This window comes from Homo sapiens, chromosome 1 (genome assembly GCF_000001405.40).
Source record: "Homo sapiens chromosome 1, GRCh38.p14 Primary Assembly".
NCBI classification, from domain to species: Eukaryota; Metazoa; Chordata; class Mammalia; order Primates; family Hominidae; genus Homo; species Homo sapiens.
The window spans coordinates 150,425,242-150,447,435 of NC_000001.11; the positions used below are offsets into that span (position 1 = coordinate 150,425,242).

General features: G+C 41.0%; 1 protein-coding gene across 16 annotated transcripts in view; it reads left to right on the forward strand.

The window, feature by feature from the left end:
- Positions 1–22,194, forward strand: part of RPRD2 (regulation of nuclear pre-mRNA domain containing 2) — a 112,420-nt gene that overhangs the window by 61,095 nt on the left and 29,131 nt on the right. For 9 of the 16 annotated variants that reach the window (NM_001387124.1, NM_001387123.1, NM_001387122.1 and 6 more), the window contains 5 exons: positions 15,682–15,782; positions 16,640–16,717; positions 17,990–18,042; positions 19,010–19,136; positions 20,985–21,160. In NM_001387124.1, coding sequence (NP_001374053.1) covers positions 15,755–15,782; positions 16,640–16,717; positions 17,990–18,042; positions 19,010–19,136; positions 20,985–21,160 — 462 coding nt within the window. In that variant the 5' untranslated portion in view covers positions 15,682–15,754. Of the gene's footprint in view, positions 1–15,681; positions 15,783–16,466; positions 16,718–17,989; positions 18,043–19,009; positions 19,137–20,984; positions 21,161–22,194 lie in introns of all 16 variants that reach the window. The other 7 variants (NM_001297674.2, NM_001297673.2, NM_001387115.1 and 4 more) reach the window with 2 other exon arrangements.

The window sequence follows — 22,194 nt, forward strand, 5'->3', positions numbered from 1 at the left end:
GAGGAAGATGACTGTGCCTACTACTGCCATTATTATTATTAACAAATTAATATTAGCAAGGCATACTCTGAAAACCTTTAAAATATATTTTTATATTGCTTTATGATTTAAGAAATTTCTGGCCGGGTGAGGTGGCTCACGCCTGTAATCCCAGGACTTTGGGAGGCCGAGGCAGGTGGATCACCTGAGGTCAGGAGTTTGAGACCAGCCTGACCAACATGGAGAAACCCTGTCTCTACTAAAAATACAAAATTAGCCAGGCGTGGTGGCGCATACCTATAATCCCAGCTACTCGGGAGGCTGAGGCAGGAGAATTGCTTGAACCTGGGAAGCAGAGGTTGCAATGTGCCGAGATTGCATCATTGCACTCCAGCCTGGGCAACAAGAACAAAACTCCGTCTCAAAAAAAAAAAAGAAAAATAAATTTCCTTCCATCTTTATTATCTTCTTTGATTCTCAAATCAAATATATGATATAATTAGGGGCAAAGATTATTATCCTCATTTTACAGATGAGGATACTGATGATAAAATAAATCATATAAATCTACTTGGAGATAGGAAACTGAACATTAAAAAGTAAGAGAGGGCTGGGTGTGGTGGCTCATGCCTATAATCCCAGCACTTTGGGAGGCCAAGGCAGCAGTATCACCTAAGCCCAGGAGTGTGAGACCACCCTGGGCAACATAGGGAGACCTCATCTCTACTAAATTAACTGGGTGTGGTGGCATATGCCTGTGGTCCAAGCTACTTGGAAGGCTGAAGCAGGAGGATCGCTTGAGCCTGAGTGGTGAAGGCTACAGTGAGCTGTGGTGGTGTCACTGCACTCTGCCTTGAGCGACAGAGTGAGACCCTGTCTCAAACAAACAAACAAACAAAAAAAGGGATGCCACTTAAAGCCTTCTACAGTCAAATCTCAGTCTTCCCATCCTTACCACCAGCTCTCCTGAATCCCAGTAATGAGACATTGCTCTAGCCAAACGCTCATACTGTGTATCTTAATATAAGTGCTTATGAATTTTTCTTCATGGAGTAGCTCTTCCTCCTTGGGAAGCAGCAGAGCTTAGAGGTTAAAAATGCAAGGTTTGGAGTCAAACTTGCAAGGTTGCCTGGGTTTAAATCCTGGATCTCTTACTTGGTAGAGTAGTTTATTTAACTTTCTCGTGCTTCAGTTTTCCCATCTGTAAAATGTGAATAATAGTACAGTTTGTCTCTTAGGGATGCTGTGAGGATTAAATAGGCTAATATATGTAAAGCATTATAAAGGAACATGAAAATGCTCTAAAAATCGGTGAGCTAAGTATCCATCTCAAGAAGTTTTAAAAGAAGAGCAAAATAAGCCCAAGAAAGGAAGGATATAATAAAATAAGAGCAGAAACTAATTAAATTTAAAACAAATACACAGTGAGGTACTTTCAATGTCAAATTCATTGTAAGAGAGAATAGAATAGTGTTTGCCAGGGACTGGGGTAGGGGGCAGGGAATGGGGAGTTATTGTTCAATGGGTATAGAGTTTCAGTTTTGCAGGATGGGAAGAGTTCTGGAGATATGGATGGTGGTGATGGTTGCACAATACGAATGTACTTAATGCCATTTAATTGTACACTTGAAAATGGTTAAGATAGGCCGGGTGCTATGGCTCGCGCCTGTAATCCCAGCACTTTGGGAGGCCAAGGCGAGTGGATCATGAGGTCAGGAGTTCAAGATCAGCCTGGCCAACATAGTGAAACCCTGTCTCTACTAAAAATACAAAAATTAGCCGGGCATGGTGGCATGCGCCTGTAGTTCCAGCTTCTTGGGAGGCTGAGGCAGGAGAATCACTTGAACCCGGGAAGTGGAGGTTACAGTGACCTGAGATCACGCCACTGCACTCCAGCTTGGGTGATACAGTGAGACTGAGTCTCAATAAATAAATAAATAAAAAGTTTTAAAAAAGAAAAACAAAGAAAAGGCCGGGTGCTGTGGCTCACGCCTGTAATCCCAGCACCTTGGGAGACCGAGGCGGGTGGATCACTTGAGGTCCGGAGATCGAGACCATCCTGGCCAACATGGTCAAACCCCATCTCTACTAAAAATACAAAAAGTAGCTGAGCGTGGTAGCGCGTGCCTGTAGTCCTAGCTACTTGGGAAGCTAAGGCAGGAGAATTGCTTGAACCCAGGAGGCAGAGATTGCAGTGAGCCGAGATTGCCCCACTGCACTCCAGCCTGGGCAACAGAGCGAGACTCTATCTCAAAAAAAAAAAAAAAGAAAAGAAAAGAAAATGTTAAGGTAACTGGGTGTGGCGTGGTGGCTCACACTTGTAATCCCAATACATTGGGAGGCCAAGGTGGGTGGATTGCTTGAACCCAGGAGTTTGAGACCAACCTAAGCAACATGGCAAGACCCCATCCCTACAATAAATACAAAAATTAGCTGGATATGGTGGCGCGTGCCTGTGTTTCCAGCTACTCAGGAGGCTGAGGCGGGAGGATCTCTTGAGCCCAGGAGGTCAAGGCTGCAGTGAGCCATAATCATGCTATTGCACTCTAGCCTGGGTGACATAGCGAGTCTCTGTCCCAAATATGAACTCTTTAGTAAAGGATTCTGGGGTATAACACTTTCTGTATAGAAAAAATAAAGTTAAATGATTTCCTACACTGTACACAGAAATATATTCCAAGTGAATTACTTTGGTGTGTAAAACAAAACTTTAAAATATTTGAAGAAAATATAAATATTTTTATGATTATAGGGAATAAAGGCTCTTAAGACACAAAAAACTAATAAAAATTTTTGAGTTTGATTACATAAAAATTAAACTTCTGCATTACAAAAGATAACATAAAACTAAAGTGGTACATTACGGAAGATATTTGTCGTAGACTAAGTTATATGAATGGGAATTATGTTAGGAGATACAGAGTGGCAAATTTTTGAATTTTTAGAATGAAAATCTATCCTCGCCGGGCGTGGTGGCTCCCAGCACTTTGGGAGGCCGAGGTGGGTGGATCACCTGAAGTCAGGAGTTCGAGACCAGCCTGACCAACATGGTGAAACCCTGTCTCTACTAAAAATACAAAAAATTAGCTGGGTGTGGTGGCGGGCGCCTGTAATCCCAGCTACTCGGGAGGCTGAGGCAGGAGAATCGCTTGAACCTGGGAGGCGGAGGTTGCAGTGAGCCGAGATTGCACGCCACTGCACTCCAGCCTGGGTGATAGAGTGAGACTCTGTCTCAAAAAAAAAAAAAAAAAAAAAAAAATCTATCCTCATTCACTGTTTTTCAGCTTCAAGGGTTTTTGACTAAGTATTGACTGCCTCTCTCTTGAGGTGATCCTTCCTCCCTCCCTTTCCCTGTCTCGAGCTATTCTCATGCGTCAGCCTCCCAAGTAGCTGGCACTAGGGGTGTGTGCTACCTGGCCTGAGTCAACCCATTACTTAGTCTTTTATTCAGACAATTAGCAAATGTTACTAAGGACCTGTAAGACAGCACATTATTCTGATGACTTCCCAGTAATGAGGTATTGATAAAGGAAAGAGACCCCTCTGAGTGAGGTACAAGATTGTGGTGTTTAGTTTTATGTAACTGTGACATCTGGACACCTCCTCTTGTACTTTATCAACTTTCCCCTTTAAAATAATTTGCTAGTACCTTCCTGTTATAAGAGTAAGGGGGGGTGTCATTAGCAAAGAAAGCATCTGTTGAACATCCTAGCAATTCTATAAGGTCGCTGTTGAACATCCTAGCAGTTCTACAAGGTCAGCCAATTTTTTTTTTAACTTAAAAATCAAAGAAGAAAAGGTTATGTAACTAAGCATGTTACATGGTTTGTGGTGATTGTAAATTCTGTGAAAATTGACATTGTGGTCAGTAGTGGCTTTTTTTTTTTTTTTAATGGAGTTTTGCTCTTGTTGCCCAGGTTGGAGTGCAGTGGTGCGATCTCAGCTCACCACAACCTTTGCTTCCCGGGTTCAAGCGATTCTCCTGCCTCAATCTCCCAAGTAGCTGGGATTACAGGCATGCGCCACCACGCCTGACTAATTTTGTATTTTTAGTAGAGACGGGGTTTCTCCATGTTGGTCAGGCTGGTCTCGAACTCCCAACCTCAGTTGATCCCAAAGTGTTAGGATTACAGGTGTGAGCCACCACACCCAGCCAGTAGTGGCTTTTTAACCTCTCAGGCTGGAGTACAGTGGCACGATCACGGCTCACTGCAGCCTTGACCTCTGGGTTTCAAGCAGTCCTCCTACCTCAGCTCCCCAGATAGCTGAGACTACAGGCACGCACAACCATACCTGGCTAATTTCTGTATTTTTTGTAAAGGCAAGGTTTCACCATGTTGCCCAGGCTGGTCTCGAACTCCTAGCCTCAAGCGATCCTCCCACCTCGACCTACCAAACTACGAGGCCTTTCTCAAAAAAAGAAAATGATAATATCCTGTTGTCATTCATTCAGCTACTATTTAGTAACAGCAAAGAAACAACAACAAATAAGTTATAATCACTGTTTTGAAGAAGTTCTGTAGTCTAGTTGAAGAAACAGTTGTTTGTATATAATTATGATTTGACTTCTGGCAGAATAGTCAACCATCTATTCCAAGGAGTCATTTTGTTATAAAATAACTACATCCTTGACAAAACTTAAGCAGAACCAAAAACAGTGGATGTATTAGAATGGCAAAGCTAACATTAACCAGCATGCCGATAACATTAATACTATGTGATTTTGGCATTTAAACTAGGCTCTGGAGAAGGGCAAATGTGCTCTTGTGTAATTAGCTCCCCCTGGCTTCTGAGATATAGTTGTTCTATATGAACACATTTTCTGTTTAGGCCACAAGGAATCCCATAGGTTAAAAACAAACGTGCTCACAGTGAAAGATCTCTGAACACACAGAAAAACAGACCACCACAATTGACAATCCATCGATTTAGTTCCTTCCCAAATGAGTTTCAGAGATTGGAATTATCAGACAGAATGTGTAGAGTAATGTATATGAAATGTTAGAGGAAGATTAAATGGAATAACAAAATGAACAACAGGTAAGATATTTGGACAGATGGAAAAAAATAATCTATAGGAACTCTTGAAAGAGAATACGCAAGAATGTAGTTCTGAAGACATCAGAATGCAACAGGAGAAATAAGGAGTGGGGAAAATGAAAAATGAAGGCCAGCCGTGGTGGCTCACACCTATAATCCCATCATGTGAGGCCAAAGTGGGAGAATCACTTGAGCCCAGGAGTTCAAGACCAGCCTGGGCAACAGTGGGACCTCATTTCTATAAAAAAAATACAAATTAGGCAGGTGTGGTGGTGTGTACTTACAGTCCCAGCTACTCAGGAGGCTGAGGCGGGAGGATCATTTGAGCCTGGGAGATTCTGTACAAAAGGAGAGAACTTTTGAGTTCTTTAGAAGATAACACTGTCTGGCTGGGCGTGGTGGCTCACGCCTGTCATCCCAGCACTTTGGGAGGCTGGGGCAGGCGGATCACCTGAGGTTGGGAGTTCGAGACCAGCCTGACCAACATGGAGAAACCCCGTCTCTACTAAAAATACAAAATTAGCCGGACCTGGTGGCGCATGCCTGTAATCCAGCTACTCGGGAGACTGAGGCGGGAAAATCGCTTGAACCGAGAGGTGGAGGTTGCGGTGAGCTGAGATCGCGCCGTTGCACTCCAGCTTGGCCAACAAGAGCGAAACTCCATCTCAAAAAAAAAAAGATAACACGGGCTGAGAACACCCTAAAAGTGATGAAAAATATGAATCTAAGATAAAGGAAGCAATAACATATACTAAATAGCATAAATAAAAATTTTATACCTAGTTATTGTAATGAAATTATAAAACAAGCAGTTTTAAAAGCATCCAGAGTTTACATCTACTAGGGTAACTATAATTCAAAACAAACAAACAACTAGAAAATGACAAGGCTTAGAGAGGATGTGGAAAAATTGGAACCCATTTACATTTCTTGTAGTAATGTAAAATGGTGCAGTTGCTGTGGAAAACAGTTTGGTGGTTCCTCAAAAATTAAACATAGAATTACCACATGATCCAGCAGTTCTACCTCTAGATATATACCCCAAAAGAAATGGAAACAGAGACTTAAACAGATATTTGTATAGGCATGTTCATAGCAGCATTATTCACAGTAGTCAAAAGGAAGAACAGTCTACATGTTTGTCAGTGGATGAATGGATAAACAGTGTGATGTATACAAACATGGAATATTATTCAGTCTTAAAAAGGAAGGATTTTTTTTTTTTTTTTTTTTTTTTGAGACGGGGTTTTGTCCTTGTTGCCCTGGCTGGAGTTCAACAGCACAATCTCGGCTCGCTGCAACTTCCGCTTCCCGGGTTCAAGCAATTCTCCTGCCTCAGCCTTCTGAGTAGCTGGGATTACAGGCGCGCGCCACCATACCCAGCTAATTTTTGTATTTTTAGTAGAGACAGGGGTTCACCATGTTGGTCAGGCTGGTCTTGAACTCCTGACCTTAGGTGACCCACCCATGTCAGCCTCCCAAAGTGCTGGGATTACAGGCGTGAGCCACTGCGCCCGGCCAAAAAGGAAGGAAATTCTAATACATGCCGCAGCATGGGTGAACTTTGATGACATTATGCTAAGTGAAACACGCCTGTCACAAAAAGACAAGTATTATATGATGCCACTTACATCAGTCACCTTCAGTAGTCAAATTCAGAGACAGGAAGTAGAATCATGGTTGCTGGAGAAAGGGGAGAATTGGGAGTTATTGTTTAGTGGATATAGTATACCAATTTGGGAAAATAAAGTTTTGGAGTTTGGTTGCACAACAGTGTGAATGTACTTAACTTTTGAACTGTACACTAAAAAAATGGTTAAGGTGGTAAATTTTACGTGTATTTTACCACAATTTTCCTTAAAAAAGGAATGACATTACACTTTCTTCTGGGTGATGGAACAAGACCCTAAATCTTAAAAAAAAAAAAAAAAAGAAAGAAAAGTCTGATAAATGCTACAAAATGGTTGAACCATGAAAACATGCTGAAATAAGCCAGACACAAAAGGACAAATATTGTATGATTACATTTATCAAAATACCTAGAATTGTTAGGTCCATAGAGAGAGATTAAAGGTTATCAGGAGCTGGGAAAAAGAGATAAGGGGGAGTTATTGGTACAGAGTACTGTAGTCTGAATATTTATGTCCCCCCGAAATTCATATGTTGAAACCTAGTCCTTAATGTGGTAGTATTAAGAGGTGGAGCCTTTGGGAGGTGATGAGGTCTAAGGGAGGTAGTGAAAAATTTTGGAAATAGTAGTGAGAATTGCACAACATTGTGAATGTAGTTACTGCCACTGAATTGTACATTTAATGGCTGAAATGGCACACTTTATGTTACATATATTTAATCACAATAAGAAAATGATAAAAAAAAAAAAGCCAAAAAAAAAAAAGATCAGTATAAAAGGACTACAATTAAAGAGTAATAATTGGAGCTGCGCATGGTGGCTCACACGTGTAATCCTGACAAGTTGGGAGGCTGAGGTGGGAGGATTGCCTGAGCCAAGGAGTCTGCAACCAGCCTGGGCAACATGGTGAGATTCCGTCTCTAAAAAAACATGAAATTTAGCCAGGTGTGGTGGCATGTGTTTATAGTCCCAGCTACTCAGGAGGCTGAGGTGGGAGGATCACCTAAGCCTGGGAGATTAAGGCTGCAGTGAGCCGAGATTGCACCACTGTACGCCAGCCTGGGGGACCAGAGTGAGACCCTGTCTCAAGGTGAGGGGGTTGGGGGAAAAGTATAATTGGAATGATTGTAACACAAAGAAATGATATATGTTTGAGGTGATGGCTACCCTATTATATACTCTGATGTCATTATTACACACTATATCAACATATCTCATGTACCCCCAAAAGATACATACCTACTATGTACCCATAAAAATTTTTTTAAATTTTTAAAAAGGACTACAATTAAACTGATGACAGACTTCTCAGCAGCGGCAGTGGAAGCCAGAGGCAGTTGTGAAAAATATTTTTATAGCATTGATAGAAAGTAGCTGTCAGTGTAGATTTGCATACAAAGCAAAACTACTTTCAAGAACCAGGAAAACATAAAGACAGAAACAAAAACAGAAATTTACCATCAACAGACAGACCCTCTCTCTCTCTGTCTGTATATATAATATATAATATATATATACTATATATACACACACACACACACAGACATAATTTTTTTTTTTTTTTTTTTTTTTGAGACGGAGTCTCGCTCTGTCACCCAGGCTGGAGTGCAGTGGCGCAATCTCAGCTCACTGCAAGCTCCTCCTTCCAGGTTCATGCCATTCTCCTGCCTCAGCCTCCCGAGTAGCTGGGACTACAGGCGCCCGCCACAACGCCCAGCTAATTTTTTGTATTTTTAGTAGAGATGGGGTTTCACAGTGTTAGCCAGGATGGTCTCAATCTGCAGACCTCGTGATCCGCCCGCCTCGGCCTCCCAAAGTGCTGGGATTACCATAGTTTTTTTTTTAACCAAGAAGCACTGAACCATCACCAAACTTCTAAATAAGTTTTACACTGGGAAGTTAGCAATATATATAATATGTATAATATATGTAATATAATATACATAATATGTTATATATATGTTATATATACATAATGTTATATATAGTTATATTATGTGTATATGTACATATGTATGTATATATAGTGTGTATACACACACACACACACAGAGGCATATAATTTGTTTTTTAACCAAGAAGAAGCACTGAACCATCAATAGACTTAATAAGTGAGTTTTACTCTGAGAAGTTAGCAATAAGGATGGTGAGTCATGCTAGCAGTAAAATACATGAAATATCTGGCCAGGCATGGTGGCTCATGCCTGTAATCCCAGCACTTTGGGAGGCTGAGGCGAGCAGATCACTTGAGGCCAGGAGTTCAAGACCAGCCTGGCCAACGTGGCAAAACCTGTCTCTACCAAAAAATACAAAAATTAGCTGGGCATGGTGGTGTATGCCTTGTAATCCCAGCTGCTGGGGAGGCTGAGGCAAGAAAATTGCTTGAGCCTGGGAGGCGGAGGTTGCAATGAGTTGAGATCGTGCAACTGCCCTCCAGCCTGGGCGGCAGAGCAAGACTGTCTATGTATATATATATGTAAACAGTTTTTAAGAATTTTAAGAACAGTTAAAGCTGTTCTTAGATATTTAAGAACAGCCTTAACAGAAAATATGAGAAACTCTTATGAATAAAGTTTAGGAACGTTAAGTATAAATTTATAAATACTAATGGAGTATTGTGTAGTCATTAAAAGTAATGTTTAGGGCTGGGCCCTGTGGCTTACACCTGTAATCCCAACACTTTGGGAGGCCGAGGCGGGTGGATCATTTGAGGTCAGGAGTTCAAGACCAGCCTGGACAACGTGGTGAAACCCTGTCTCTACCAAAAATACAAAAATTAGCCAGGTGGTAGTGGTGTGCATCTGTAATCCTAGCTACTCGGGAGGCTGAGGCAGAAGAATCACTTGAGCCTGGGAGGTGGAGGTTGCAGTGAGCCAGGATCACGCCACTGCACTCCAGTCTGGGTGACAGAGTGAGACCCTATCTCCAAAAATAGAAATAAAAAAGAAAGAAAGGAATAGTTATAAAGAGTTGATTGGAACATGGGGAAATGTTTGTTAAGTGAAAATAACAGAATAGAATTTTTTTTGTGTGAAGAGAGGGCATACTTTGTTTCATTGTGCATTGCAGGTAATGTGGTTGTTTTTAGAAACTGAAGGTTTGTAGCAACCCTGTGCCTATTGGTGCTATTTTTCCAACATATGCTCATTCATGTCTCTGTGTCACATTTTGGTAATATTTGCAACATTTCAAATTTTTATTGTATCTGTTATGGTGATCTGTGATCAGCGATGTTACTATTATAATTGTTTTTACATATTCCTAACTTCGTCCATGTAAGACCGTGAACTTAATTGATAAATGTCGTGTGTTTTCTGATTGCACTAACCCACCATTCCCCATCTCTTTCTATCTCCTGGGACCTCCTTATTCCCTGAGACACCACAATATCGAAATTAGAACAATTAATAGCCCTACAGTGGCCTCTCAGTGTTCAAGTGAAAGGAAGAGTCACACATCTTTTGCTTTAAATAAAAAACTAGAAAAGATTAAGCTTAGTGAGTAAGGCATGTTGAAAGCCAAGATAGGCTGAAAGCTAGGCCTCTTGCACCAGTTAGCCAGGTTGTGAATGCAAAGTTCTTGTAGGAAATTAAAAATGCTACTGTAGTGAACACATGAATGATAAGAAAGCAAAATAGCTTTATTGCTAATATGGAGAAAGTTAGTGGCCTGGATAGAAGATCAAGCCAGATACAACATAAAGCCAAAGCCTAATCCAGAGCAAGGCCCTAACTCTCCTCAATTCTATGAAGGTTGAGAGAGGTGAGGAAGCTGTGGAAATAGGTTCATGAGATTTAAGGAAAGAAGTCATCTCTATAACACAAAAGTGTAAGATGAAGCAGCAAGTGCTGATGTAGAAGCAGCAGCAAGTTGTCCAGAGCTTCAGCTAGGATCACTCATGAAGGTGGCTCCAGTAATCAGCAGATTTTCAAGGTAGATGAAACAGCCTTCTGTTGGAAGATGCCATGTAGGACTCTCATAGCTAGAAGGAAGTCAGTCCTTGCTTCAAAGCACAGGCTGACTCTCTTGTTAGGAGCTAATACAGCTGTCTGGCAACTTTGAGTTGAAGCCACTGTTCATATACAATTCTGAAAATCCTAGGGCTGTTAAAAATTATGCTAAATCTATTCTGTCTGTGCTCTGTAGATGGAACAGCAAAGCCCAGGTGACAGCACATCTGTTTACAGTGTGGTTTGCTGAATATTTCAAGCCCAATGTTGAGACCTGCTCTTGTTCAGGGAAAAAAAAAAAAAAACACAGATTCTTTACAAAATATTACTGTTCATTGACAATGCACCCAGTCACCCAAGAGCTCTGATGTATAAGGAGATTGATGTTATTTTCTTGCTTGCTAACACAACATTTATTCTGCCCATGGTTAAAGGAGTAATTTGACCTTTCAATTCTTGTTGTTTAAGAAATACAAACCGGCCGGGCATGGTGGCTCATGCCTGTAATCCCAGCACTTTGGGAGGCCGAGGCAGGCAGATCACGAGGTCGGGAGATCGAGACCATCCTGGCTAACACCGTGAAACCCCGTCTCTACTAAAAATACAAAAAATTAGCTGGGCGTGGTGGCAGGCGTCTGTAGTCCCAGCTACTCCGGAGGCTGAGGCAGGAGAATGGGGTGAACCCTGGAGGTGGAGCTTGCAGTGAGCCAAGATCGCCACTGCACTCCAGCCTGGGCAACAGAGCAAGACTCCGTCTCAATTAAAAAAAAAGAAATACAGGGCTGGGCATGGTGGCTCACACCTGTAATCCCAGCACTTTGGGAGGCCAAGGCTAGTGGATGGATCACTTGAGGTCAGGAGTTCAAGACCAGCCTGGCCAACATGGTGAAACCCCGTCTCTACTAAAAATAAAAATTAGCCAGGCATGGTGGCACACGCCTGTAATACCAGCCACTCAGGAAGCCGAGGCAGGACAATTGCTTGAACCCAGGAGGCAGAGGTCGCAGTGAGCTGAGATCGCGCCATTGCACTCCAGCCTGGGCAACGAGCAAAACTCCGTCTCAAATAAAAAGAAAAAATACAGGCTGGGCACGGTGGCACACGCCTGTTATCCCAGCACTTTGGAAGTCCGAGATGGGAAGATCTCTAGAGCTCAGGAGTTTGAGATCAGCCTGGGCAACATTGCGAGACGTAGTCTCTATTATTAAAAAAAGAAAGAAAGACATTTTGTAAGGCTATAGTTGCCGCTAATAATGATTCCTTTTATGGATCTGGGCAAAGGAAATTGAAAACCTTCTGGAAAGGATTCACCATTCTAGATGGCATGAAGAACATTTGTGATTCATAGGGAGAGGTCAAAATATCAACATTAAGGCCAGGCATGGTGGCTTTTAACACCTGTAATCCCAACACTTTGGAGGCCAAGGCAGGCAGATCACGAGGTCAAGAGATCGAGACCATCCTGGCCAACATGGTGAAACCTTGTCTCTACTAAAAATACAAATATTAGCTGGGTGTGGTGGTGCATGCCTGCAGTCCCAGCTACCATGATCAGTCATCATCAAGGCAAGACCCTCCACCAGCAAAAAGAATATGATTTGCTGGAGACTCAGATGATTGTTAAGAGTTTTTTAGCTATAAAGTATTTTTTTAACTAACATATGGATATTGTTTTTAATACATAATGCTATTGCACACTTAATTGACTATAGTATAGTGTAAATGTAACTTTTTAAAAATTTATTGGTTTGTTTTTAGAGACAGAGTCTTACTCTGTCACTCAAGCTGGAGTGCAGTGGTGTTGTCAGGGCTCACTGCAGACTCGAACCCCTGGTCTCAACCGATTCCCCCACCTCAGCCCTCCAAGTGGCTGGGACTACAGGTGTGCCCCACCACATCTGGCAAGTTTTTGTATTTTTTGCAGAGATGGGGTTTCGCCACGTTGCCCAGGCTGGTCTCAAACTCCTGGGCTCAGGTGATCCGCCAGCTTCAGCCTTCCAAAGTGCTAGAACTGCAGGCGTGAGCCACCGTGCCCAGCCTAAACTTTACAATTTTCTAGAGGTTTATTAACCAGAAAGAACAGACTCTGTTGTCACTTCTTATATTTTTTATGCTGAGATTCTTTCTGTCATTATTTAAAAAAAAAAAAAAAAAAAAGTTGAGCCAGGAACCGTGGCTCACGCCTGTAACCCCAGCACTTTGGGAGGCCGAGGCAGGCAGATCATGAGGTCAGGAGTTTGAGACCAGCCTGGCCAATACGGTGAAACCCCATCTCAACTAAAAAAATATATATACAAAAATTAGCCGGGCATGGTGTCACTGGCCTGTAGTCCCAGCCACTTGGGAAGCTGAGGCAGAAGAATCGCTTGAACTTGGGAGGCGGAGGTTGCAGTGAGCGGAGGTGGTGCCACTGCACTCCGGCCTGGGCGACAGAGCAAGACTCATCTCAAGAAAAGAAAAGAAAAAAAGTCATGCGTTGCTTAACATCAAGAATATGTTCTGAGGCCAGGTGCGGTGGCTCACACCTGTAATCCCAGCACTTTGGGAGGCCAAGGCGGGCAGATCACTTGAGGTCGGGAGTTCAAGACCAGCCTAACCAACATGGTGAAACCCCGTCCCTACTAAAAAAAAATACAAAATTAGCTGGGCGTGGTGGCAGGCGCCTATAATCCCAGCTACCCCGGAGGCGGAGGCAGGAAAATCGTTTGAACCCAGGAGGCGGAAGTTGCAGTGAGCCGAGATCGCACCATTGCACTCCAGCCTGGGTGACAGAGCAAGACTCTGTCTTCAAAAAAAAAAGAGTATGTTCTGAAAAATGTGTCATTAGGGAATTTTATCCTTTGAACATCCTAGAGTGTACTTAAATAAACGTAGATGGCATAGCCTACTAAAAACCGAAGCTATGTTGTGTAGCCTATTGCTCTTTGGCTGTAAACCTGCACTGCATGTCACTGTATTGAATACTATAGGCAGCTGTAACAATGGTAAGTACATATCTAAACTTTTTTTTTTTTAAACGGAGTCTCACTCTGTCTCCAGGCTGGAGTGCAATGGCGCAATCTCAGCTCACTGCAACCTTCGACTCCTTGGTTCAAGCAATTCTCCTGCCTCAGCGTCCCGAGTAGCTGGGATTACAGGCATGTGCCACCGCACCCAGCTAATTTTTGTATTTTTAGTAGAGACGGGGTTTCACCATGTTGGCCAGGATGGTCTCGATCTCTTGACCTTGTGATCCGCCTCCCTCGGCCTCCCAAAGTGCTGCGATTACAGGCATGAGCCACCACACCCGGCCGTATCTAAACATTATAGAACACAGAAAATTGTGAAAAGTATAAAGAAAAATCCACTCACTTTCACCAAATGGAGATTTACAAGATAACAATTTCAGCATTACTATCTTACAGTCTTTTTCTTCTATAAATGTTAGTATTGTATTTGAAACCAGTCACACACATAGTCAGGCATACCTTAGAGATATTGAGATTTCAGTTCCAAACCACCACAATAAAGCAAATATTGCAATAAAGCATGTCACACGCAGGTGGATCGCTTGAGCCCAGGAGGCTGAGGCTGCGGCTGCAGTGAGCCAAGATCATGCCACCATAGTTCAGCCTCGACAACTGAGTGAGACCCTGTCTCAAAAAAAAAGAAAATTGTAAGGTTTAATACAATTTTCTCTGTTTCTTACATAAGCCATTCTTAGGCAAGAAAAAAATTCTTTGTGAACACATGATGTTATGGATTCATAGGCTCTCATCCTTGAAAGAGGCCTTAAGTTTGACATAGCTTTTTTTTTTTTTTGTCTTCAATCTCCATATGGTTTGGTGGATTCACTTAAGGAGAGGTTACATTCCTGTTTTGTCTTTTGATAGATCTATGAAATTATTAGAATGGTTTCTGTTCTTTGGCAGATCTGCTAGAATAAAATTTCTTTTCTCTACGGCTTCATACTTTTGTCCTTGTTTTGCTTCCTGAGATCACACCAGTTTGATTCCTCTCCCTGACAATGGTTACGCCCTTCCTGCATTGTTTTTTATTTCTTCTGCATTTCACGTAAGACATAATTAAAATCTTTACTTAAATTATTAACTTTATTGGTAATTATTTCTCATTCACTTCTACTTTAACACTTTTTTTTTTTGAGACAAGGTCTTGCTCTGTGGCCCAGGCTGGGTTGCAGTGTTGTGATCACCAGTCAGTACAGTACAGATCCTCTTGCCTCAGACTCCCATGTAGCGGGTACTACAAATGTGTGCCACCACATGTGGCTAATTTTTTCATTTTTAGTAGAGATAAGGTCTCTCTCTGTTTCTCAGGCTGGTCTTAAACTTCCAAGCTCAAGTGATTTTCCCACCTCGGCCTCCCAGAATTGGCCAGACTGGTCTCAAACTCCTGACCTCAGGCAATCCATCCACTACGGCCTCCCACAATTGGCCAGACTGGTCTCGAACTCCTGACCTCAGGCAATCCATCCACCTCGGCCTCCCAAAGCGCTGGGATTACAGGCGTGAGCCACTGTGCCCAGCCAACATTGTTTAAAGTTAGGTAGCCAACTTGAACCTGAAGCTCATCTGTGAACCAAACAGAATAAACCAATACCCTTTACTTCCCTCATTGTTACTATGTATTCTCATAGTATTATGTAATAGTTTTTTAGAAAACATGTTACAGTATGTGATTGGTTCATGATTTTTTCTAAACCTTTAAAAAATGAAAAAATACAGCATTGCTAAACCTTGTCTTCTCATTCAGTACTAGTGTAATTGTGTTTTAGAATGCCAGTTGTGTCTGCACATTCCCAGCCCTCTCAAGTTCATATCCATCAAAGCTGTCAGTATGTCATCTGTAGCTTCATCTATGTCATTTACAAAAGTGTTGAATTGGTAATTATTTTAAGTTTAAGTTAAAATAATCTTAAAGTTTAAGATTTCTTTAGTCCTGGATATTATAGAAAAAAGGTTTTGAAATAAACATCAGAAGAAATTTGGAAAATAATTTTATTGATAACTTTATTTTCAGATTTCTAGTTTGGAGTAGAAGTCAAGGTTTTTATAGTCTGTATTACTTTTTCTTTGTTTTCAGGGATCCATCTGTCTCTAAGTCTGTAGAACGAATCTTTAAAATCTGGGAAGATAGAAATGTATACCCAGAAGAAATGATTGTGGCATTGAGAGAAGCTTTGAGTAAGTGTCTTTTTCTCTCCTAAAAGAAAATTTTTGAGTCAGTCTTTACAATTACATAATTTTATAGATCTGGTCATGTTGTATAATAGTGAAAAATTAAGTTTTGAATCTAGCCCTATTTGTTTAAAGTTAAATATTTATGAAAAATCTAGATCTGTTTGAATTAAAATGTAAGTAGAATTGGTTTTAGGGATGGGGTCGGATTTTGTTTTTTAGTGACTACAAAAGTCAAGCATGTTAAGTGGTAATAGCCATCTGGTTATTTTCCTGCATTTGCGTTGAGTGTTTCAAATGGTTCATTGTTTGTGTTAATAAATACTGCCCTGTGCCCTTACTGTTGGAGAATTTTTGCACAGGGTGTCAGTTCTTACTAAGCTGTTTGGTAGTAAGCATATATCAGCAGTCTTTAGACTGTCTTTTGATTTAGATTTACAGTAAGTGGTGTACTGTTTTGTTAAAAGGAATTATGTATTATATGCATGTAATTAAGTTATTGAACAGAAGTTTGTGATAATCTGCTACCATGACCGTCATTTTACTAGAAATTTGCTTTAAAAATGGCATCTTCTAAGAAGCTGTTAAATTCTTCATTTTAATTTGTTAATTGGTATTTTTAAGCCTCCTCCCCTATTCTTTTCAGAATTGGTAATTTCGCTGATGATAAAAATCGTGTTTATTTGACAGCTTCTTAGATCGGGTAGGAATTTCTATTTTTTCATAAAAATGAAAGAAAAGGAAAGAAAGAAACAACACACAGTCTCGGATTGCCTTTTTTCATGCTGCAACTTTGGCACTGAAGTGGACAGACAGAACAGCTTCCCATAATGCCAGATTGCAAAAACTGAAATGTTTTCCAGGTACCACTTTCAAAACTCAGAAGCAGCTGAAAGAAAATCTGAACAAACAACCGAATAAGCAGTGGAAGAAATCACAAAGTAAGGAACAAAATCTCAACTAATATAAAATTACCTCCTCTTTTTGGAGCAGAAGAAAATGTAGACCATTTGACATCGTACCTGGCATAAACCATGGGCAAGCCTGTTTTCCAGGTCTGGGAGGCTCCCAGTGACCTATGCTAAACAAGCCATCATGGAGATACTTCTAAAAAAAAAAAAAAAAGCAAACAAAAACTACACTTTAAAACAAAGGAAATGCAGAAAAGGGTTTAATTGAGTGAAGATTCAAGAGTAGTTGGGGGATTGCAAGAAGAAAAAAATACTTGATAGTGTCCAGGATAATTTTCAGGTTCAAGGATATATGATGTTAGAGGCAGCTGGCATTAAACAACAGATCTGAAGAGGAGACTAGGCATTAAGAAGCATTTCTGTGGGAACCATGAAATCTCCAGATTTGGGGGATATACTCTACCAAATTAGACATGGACCTCAGATCCTGGCCAGAAGCTCATTCTGTAATGGGAGCTCCTGTTATATTTATCGTATTTACCCAGCATGAGATCAAGGGAATGGAATACTGCATGTGATAGGCTGCTGTGGGCAAACTGAGGAATATTGAGAGAGACTTGAAGGTGTGGAGGGAACAAAGTAAAAGACAGTGAGAATTGGGAGGTGAAACGAGATACTTGGGATGGTTTTGCTCCAGCGAGCATATGATATCCATCATGATTAAGGGAGTCCTCAGACATCTTCTTGGTCATAAGTTGCATGCTTAGGAACAACAGGAGTCGTCATTTCAGCCAAAGTTCCACCACAGTATTAATATACCTAGAAGTTTCCTTGCCTATTTTTGCTATGAATTGAGTCAGCAGAAAAAGAAATTCAAAGGATAAATTTATAGGAATAGAGTTATTTGTCACCAATTTTCTTCAGCCAGTGCTCAGGATTAATTGGATGTCCTGTTCCTGAACACTCTTAATTTGAGGTATTTAGATCCTGTTACACCCAGACTAGGAAAAAAAGGTACTTGATGTATCTCGGTGTCTCCAAATCAATAATTCTAGGACTTTATGACCTGAAGGGTCTGTTGGAGGTAAGTAGGTTAGGTCTGTCTAAATAGCGTATTTTTACATTGACCACATTTAGGAATGTTTAAATTTCCTAGTCCATTATTTATTTTAGGAATTATGACTTAAATGTGCATGTTTGCCATATGTTCAGAGTATATCTTTAACTATAGAGCTAAAATTTTTCCTGTTAGTCAACTTTTTGTGTCTGTATTCTTAATGACCTTTTGTTTAATTCCAACAGCATCTACAAATCCAAAAGCTGCTCTCAAGTCTAAGATAGTTGCTGAATTTCGAGTAAGTTACAGAATTTGTTTAATATAGCAAAGTATTATTCACCCCTTTTGTATTATAGTTTCCTGTATAGTCCAATAAGATTTATCTGTATTCAATTACACATGTCATGTTTTAAACATGCATGAACTGTTCTAAAGGAACCCAGATTGGGATTAGATTGCTTGGCGTTTTATCTGTTCCCCTAATGGTAGAAATAACCTTCTTCCAGTATATCTATTATCAGCTGAGTTGCATATTCAATTTATGCCAGCAAGAGAGTTTATTTTCCTGTGAAACTCTTTCTAAATTAGAATTTGCTTAGAATAACAGAAGGCTATGTTTATGTAATTAAAATTTAGAGAGGCTATATAAATGGACCTTTGTCTGTTTTAGTCTTAATTCTGTATCCATAAATTAGCTTTGTGTAATGAAGGAAAAGGATCTTTTAAAGTCTGTAACTAGGCTGGGCGCGGTGGCTCACGCCTGTAATCCCAGCACTTTGGGAGGCCGAGGTGGGCGGATCACGAGGTCAGGAGATCGAGACCATCCTGGCTAATACGGTGAAACCCCGTCTCTACTAAAAATTAAAAAAAAAAAAAACAAAAATTAGCTGGGCGTGGTGGCGGGCGCCTGTAGTCCCAGCTACTCAGGAGGCTGAGGCAGGAGAATGGCATGAACCCGGGAGGCGGAGCTTGCAGTGAGCCGAGATCGTGCCACTGCACTCCAACCTGGGCGACAGAGCGAGACTCCATTTCAAAAAATAAATAAATAAATGAAGTCTATAACTAAACATGGTTTTGACATGATAATTGATCATTAATATCTGTCACCATGAGAAAAAGTGAAAAGTTTTTTTCCTCCCAGGGTTTTGTTAAGCTTTAGGGTGTTTGTTTTGTTTTGTTTTGTTTTGTTTTACAAAATGAGGAGAGAGAGAATGAGAATAATTGAATGATCTTGTAAATGAAATATGACTCTGGTCTGTGTTTAGTCTCAGGCCCTAATTGAAGAGCTGTTGCTATACAAGCGCTCAGAAGATCAGATAGAACTGAAGGAAAAGCAGTTGTCAACTATGAGGGTGGATGTGTGCAGCACAGAAACTCTCAAATGCTTAAAAGGTAATGCTTACATCCTTTTAGAGTAAGTCAGATTTTCTTTCCATATGTGTCATTTTTCCAGTAATCATACTGGTTTACCTCATAAGGAGATCCTTGGGTAGAAAGCAGTTGTGGCACCTCTGGTTTCCCAGGTAGTTATTTCATGCATATAAATTTCATAAGTAAATTCTGTTGTTCTCATTTCTAGTACTTTCTTGGTGTACTAGGTTATATATAGACAGTTGTATTTCACATGTATGGTTAATTGGTATGGGTATGCTCTTTAATGAAGTCACTCTAATGCCTCATAAAATCTAGTTAGACCATCTAGTTTCCTTGCATTGTAAATTGTAAATCATACTAATAATTTATTATAATGTAAGCCTCATGAAGGCAGAAATTATATTGATTTGTTCATTGCTATACCCTGGCACCTAGAACAATGCTTGGCACATAATAGATATTTGATGAATATTTTTGAAATAATAAGTAAATGACTACTAGCTATTAATTTTGGCACCAATTTTATTCCTGTGCCGTACTTTAAATTTAACAGACCAGACACAGTGCCTGTAATCTCAGCACTTTGGGAAGCCAGGGCAGGAGGACTGCTTGAGACCAAGAGTTTGAGACTAGCCTGGGCAACATAGTGAGACCCTGTCTCTACAAAAAAATTAAAACATTAATGAGCTTGGTGGCACACACCTGTAGTCCTAGCTGCTTGGGAGGCTGAGGCAAGCAGATTGTTTGACCCCAGGAGGCTGTAGTGAACTCTCATCATGTCACTGCACTCCAGCCTGGGTGACAGAAGAGACCGTCTCTAAAGAAAAATTTTTTAAAAACAAACAATTTAACATATATTACCTAATTCAATCCTCATAACAGAAAACATACTAAAAATCTCTATTTTATCACATGAGAGATCTGAGGTCTTGTAAGGAGATTAGTAGCTTACCCAAGTTACACAACTGATAAGAGGCAAAGCCAAACTTTATACTCATATCCAAAGCCATATTCTGCCAGTCACTGGGAAAGAAGTAGATATACTGAATTATCACGAATCTTTTTCAGATAGGAAAGAAGAACTTTTATTGTGATGCATACAGAGGTCACTTTATTTTTACTTTTCTGAACGTTACTTTTCTCGTTTAAGAGATAACATCTTACTACCTTCTGTAATGCAAAAGTTATGGTATAAGCGAATACAGTTGAGCTTCATTCTGTTATTCCTAAGTAAGTAGCAGTGTGGAATCCAATTTGTGAAGAAAATAATTAATCAACAAACTCTTTTAGTTGAACTTTCTTTTCTTTACCTTAATTACAAGTGCCTTCACTCTGGCAGGTTCACATGAGTCTGTTCTGTAAAGAATTTTAATAATCTGTTTTGTGATTTTGTGATTTGGAGAAACTTGTTTAAGATAAAATTGTGAGGCCGGGCACGGTGGCTCACAACTGTAATCCCAGCACTTTGGGAGGCCCAGGCAGGCGGATCACGAGGTCAGGAGCTCGAGACCATCCTGGCTAACACAGTGAAACCCCATCTCCGCTAAAAATACAAAAAATTAGCTGGGCGTGGTGGCAGGCGCCTGTAGTCCCAGCCACTCGGGAGGCTGAGGCAGGAGAGTGGCGTGAACCCGGGAAGCGGAGCTTGCAGTCAGCTGAGATCGCGCCACTGCACTCTAGCCTGGGCGACAGAGTGAGACTCCGTCTCAAAAAAAAAAAAAAAGAAAGAAACTAAGAGTATTAGAGTACTGCACAGTAAGGCAGCAAGAGTATGTTCACAAAGAGAGGTTTTCTTCAAAAGTCAAAAGACTAAATTTTTTTATTTTTTATTTTATCCTGAAATGAATATTTCCCATGTCATTTTAGATAAAACAGGTGGGAAGAAGTTCTCCAAAGAATTTGAAGAGGCAAGCTCCAAGCTGGAAGAATTTGTGAATGGATTAGATAAGCAGGTGAAAAACGGACCCTCATTAACAGAAGCACTGGAAAATGCTGGAATTTTCTATGAAGCACAATACAAAGAAGTAAAAGTGGTGGCTAATGTAAGTAATAATTAAAGCTGTCTTATACTGAATGCTTGTTACTATATTTCAGAGATTGTTAACATGCATTATCTAACTCTGTTAGGATATGCATTTTTATCTCCTTATCGCAGATGAAATTACTTTTGGGATAGGTGCTGTGGTACACACCTGTAATCCCAGCACTTTGGGAGGCTGAGGCAGGAGGATTGCTTGAGCCCAGGACTTTGAGACCAGCCTGGGCACCATGGTGAAACCATGTGTCTAGCAAAAAAGTACAGAAATTATCTGAGTGTGATCTCAGGCTTCAATGAGCTGTGATCACGCCACTGCACCCCAGCCTGGCCAACAAGAGTGAGACCCGTCTCAAAAAAAATAGAAGAAGAAATTATGAGGATTAGTAAACTTGTACAAGGTAATACAGCTAGTAAGTGGTAGAATAAGACCTGGGTCTTTTTTTTTTTTTTTTTGGAACGGAGTTTGTCGCTCTTGTTGCCCAGGCTAGAGTGCAGTGGTGCAATCTCAGCACACAGCAACCTCCGCCTCCCGGGTTCAAGCGATTCTCCTGCCTTAGCCCCGCTGAGTAGCTGGGATTACAGGCATGCACCACCATGCCCAGCTAATTTTGTATTTTTAGTAGAGACGAGGTTTCTCCATGTTGGTCAGGCTGGTCTCAAACTCCAACCTCGGGTGATCCGCCTGCCTTGGTCCCGCAAAGTGCTGGGATTACAGGCAGGAGCCACCGTGCCCGGCCCAATTTTTGTATTTTTAGTAGAGATGGGGTTTCTCCATATTGGTCAGGCTGGTCTTGAACTCCTGCCCACCTTGGCCTCCCAAAGTGCTGGGATTGCAGGTGTGAGCCACCGTCCCTGGCCTTACTTTTTTTCTTAACCAGAAAACTGGATGGAAACATCCTGTTACCAAATTTCATGTAAATTGACTGAATTAAGGAACTTTTTTTTTTTTTTTTTGAGACGGAGTTTCCCTCTTATTGCCTAGGCTGGAGTGTAATGGCGTGATCTCGGCTCACTTCAACCTCCGCCTCCTGGGTTCAA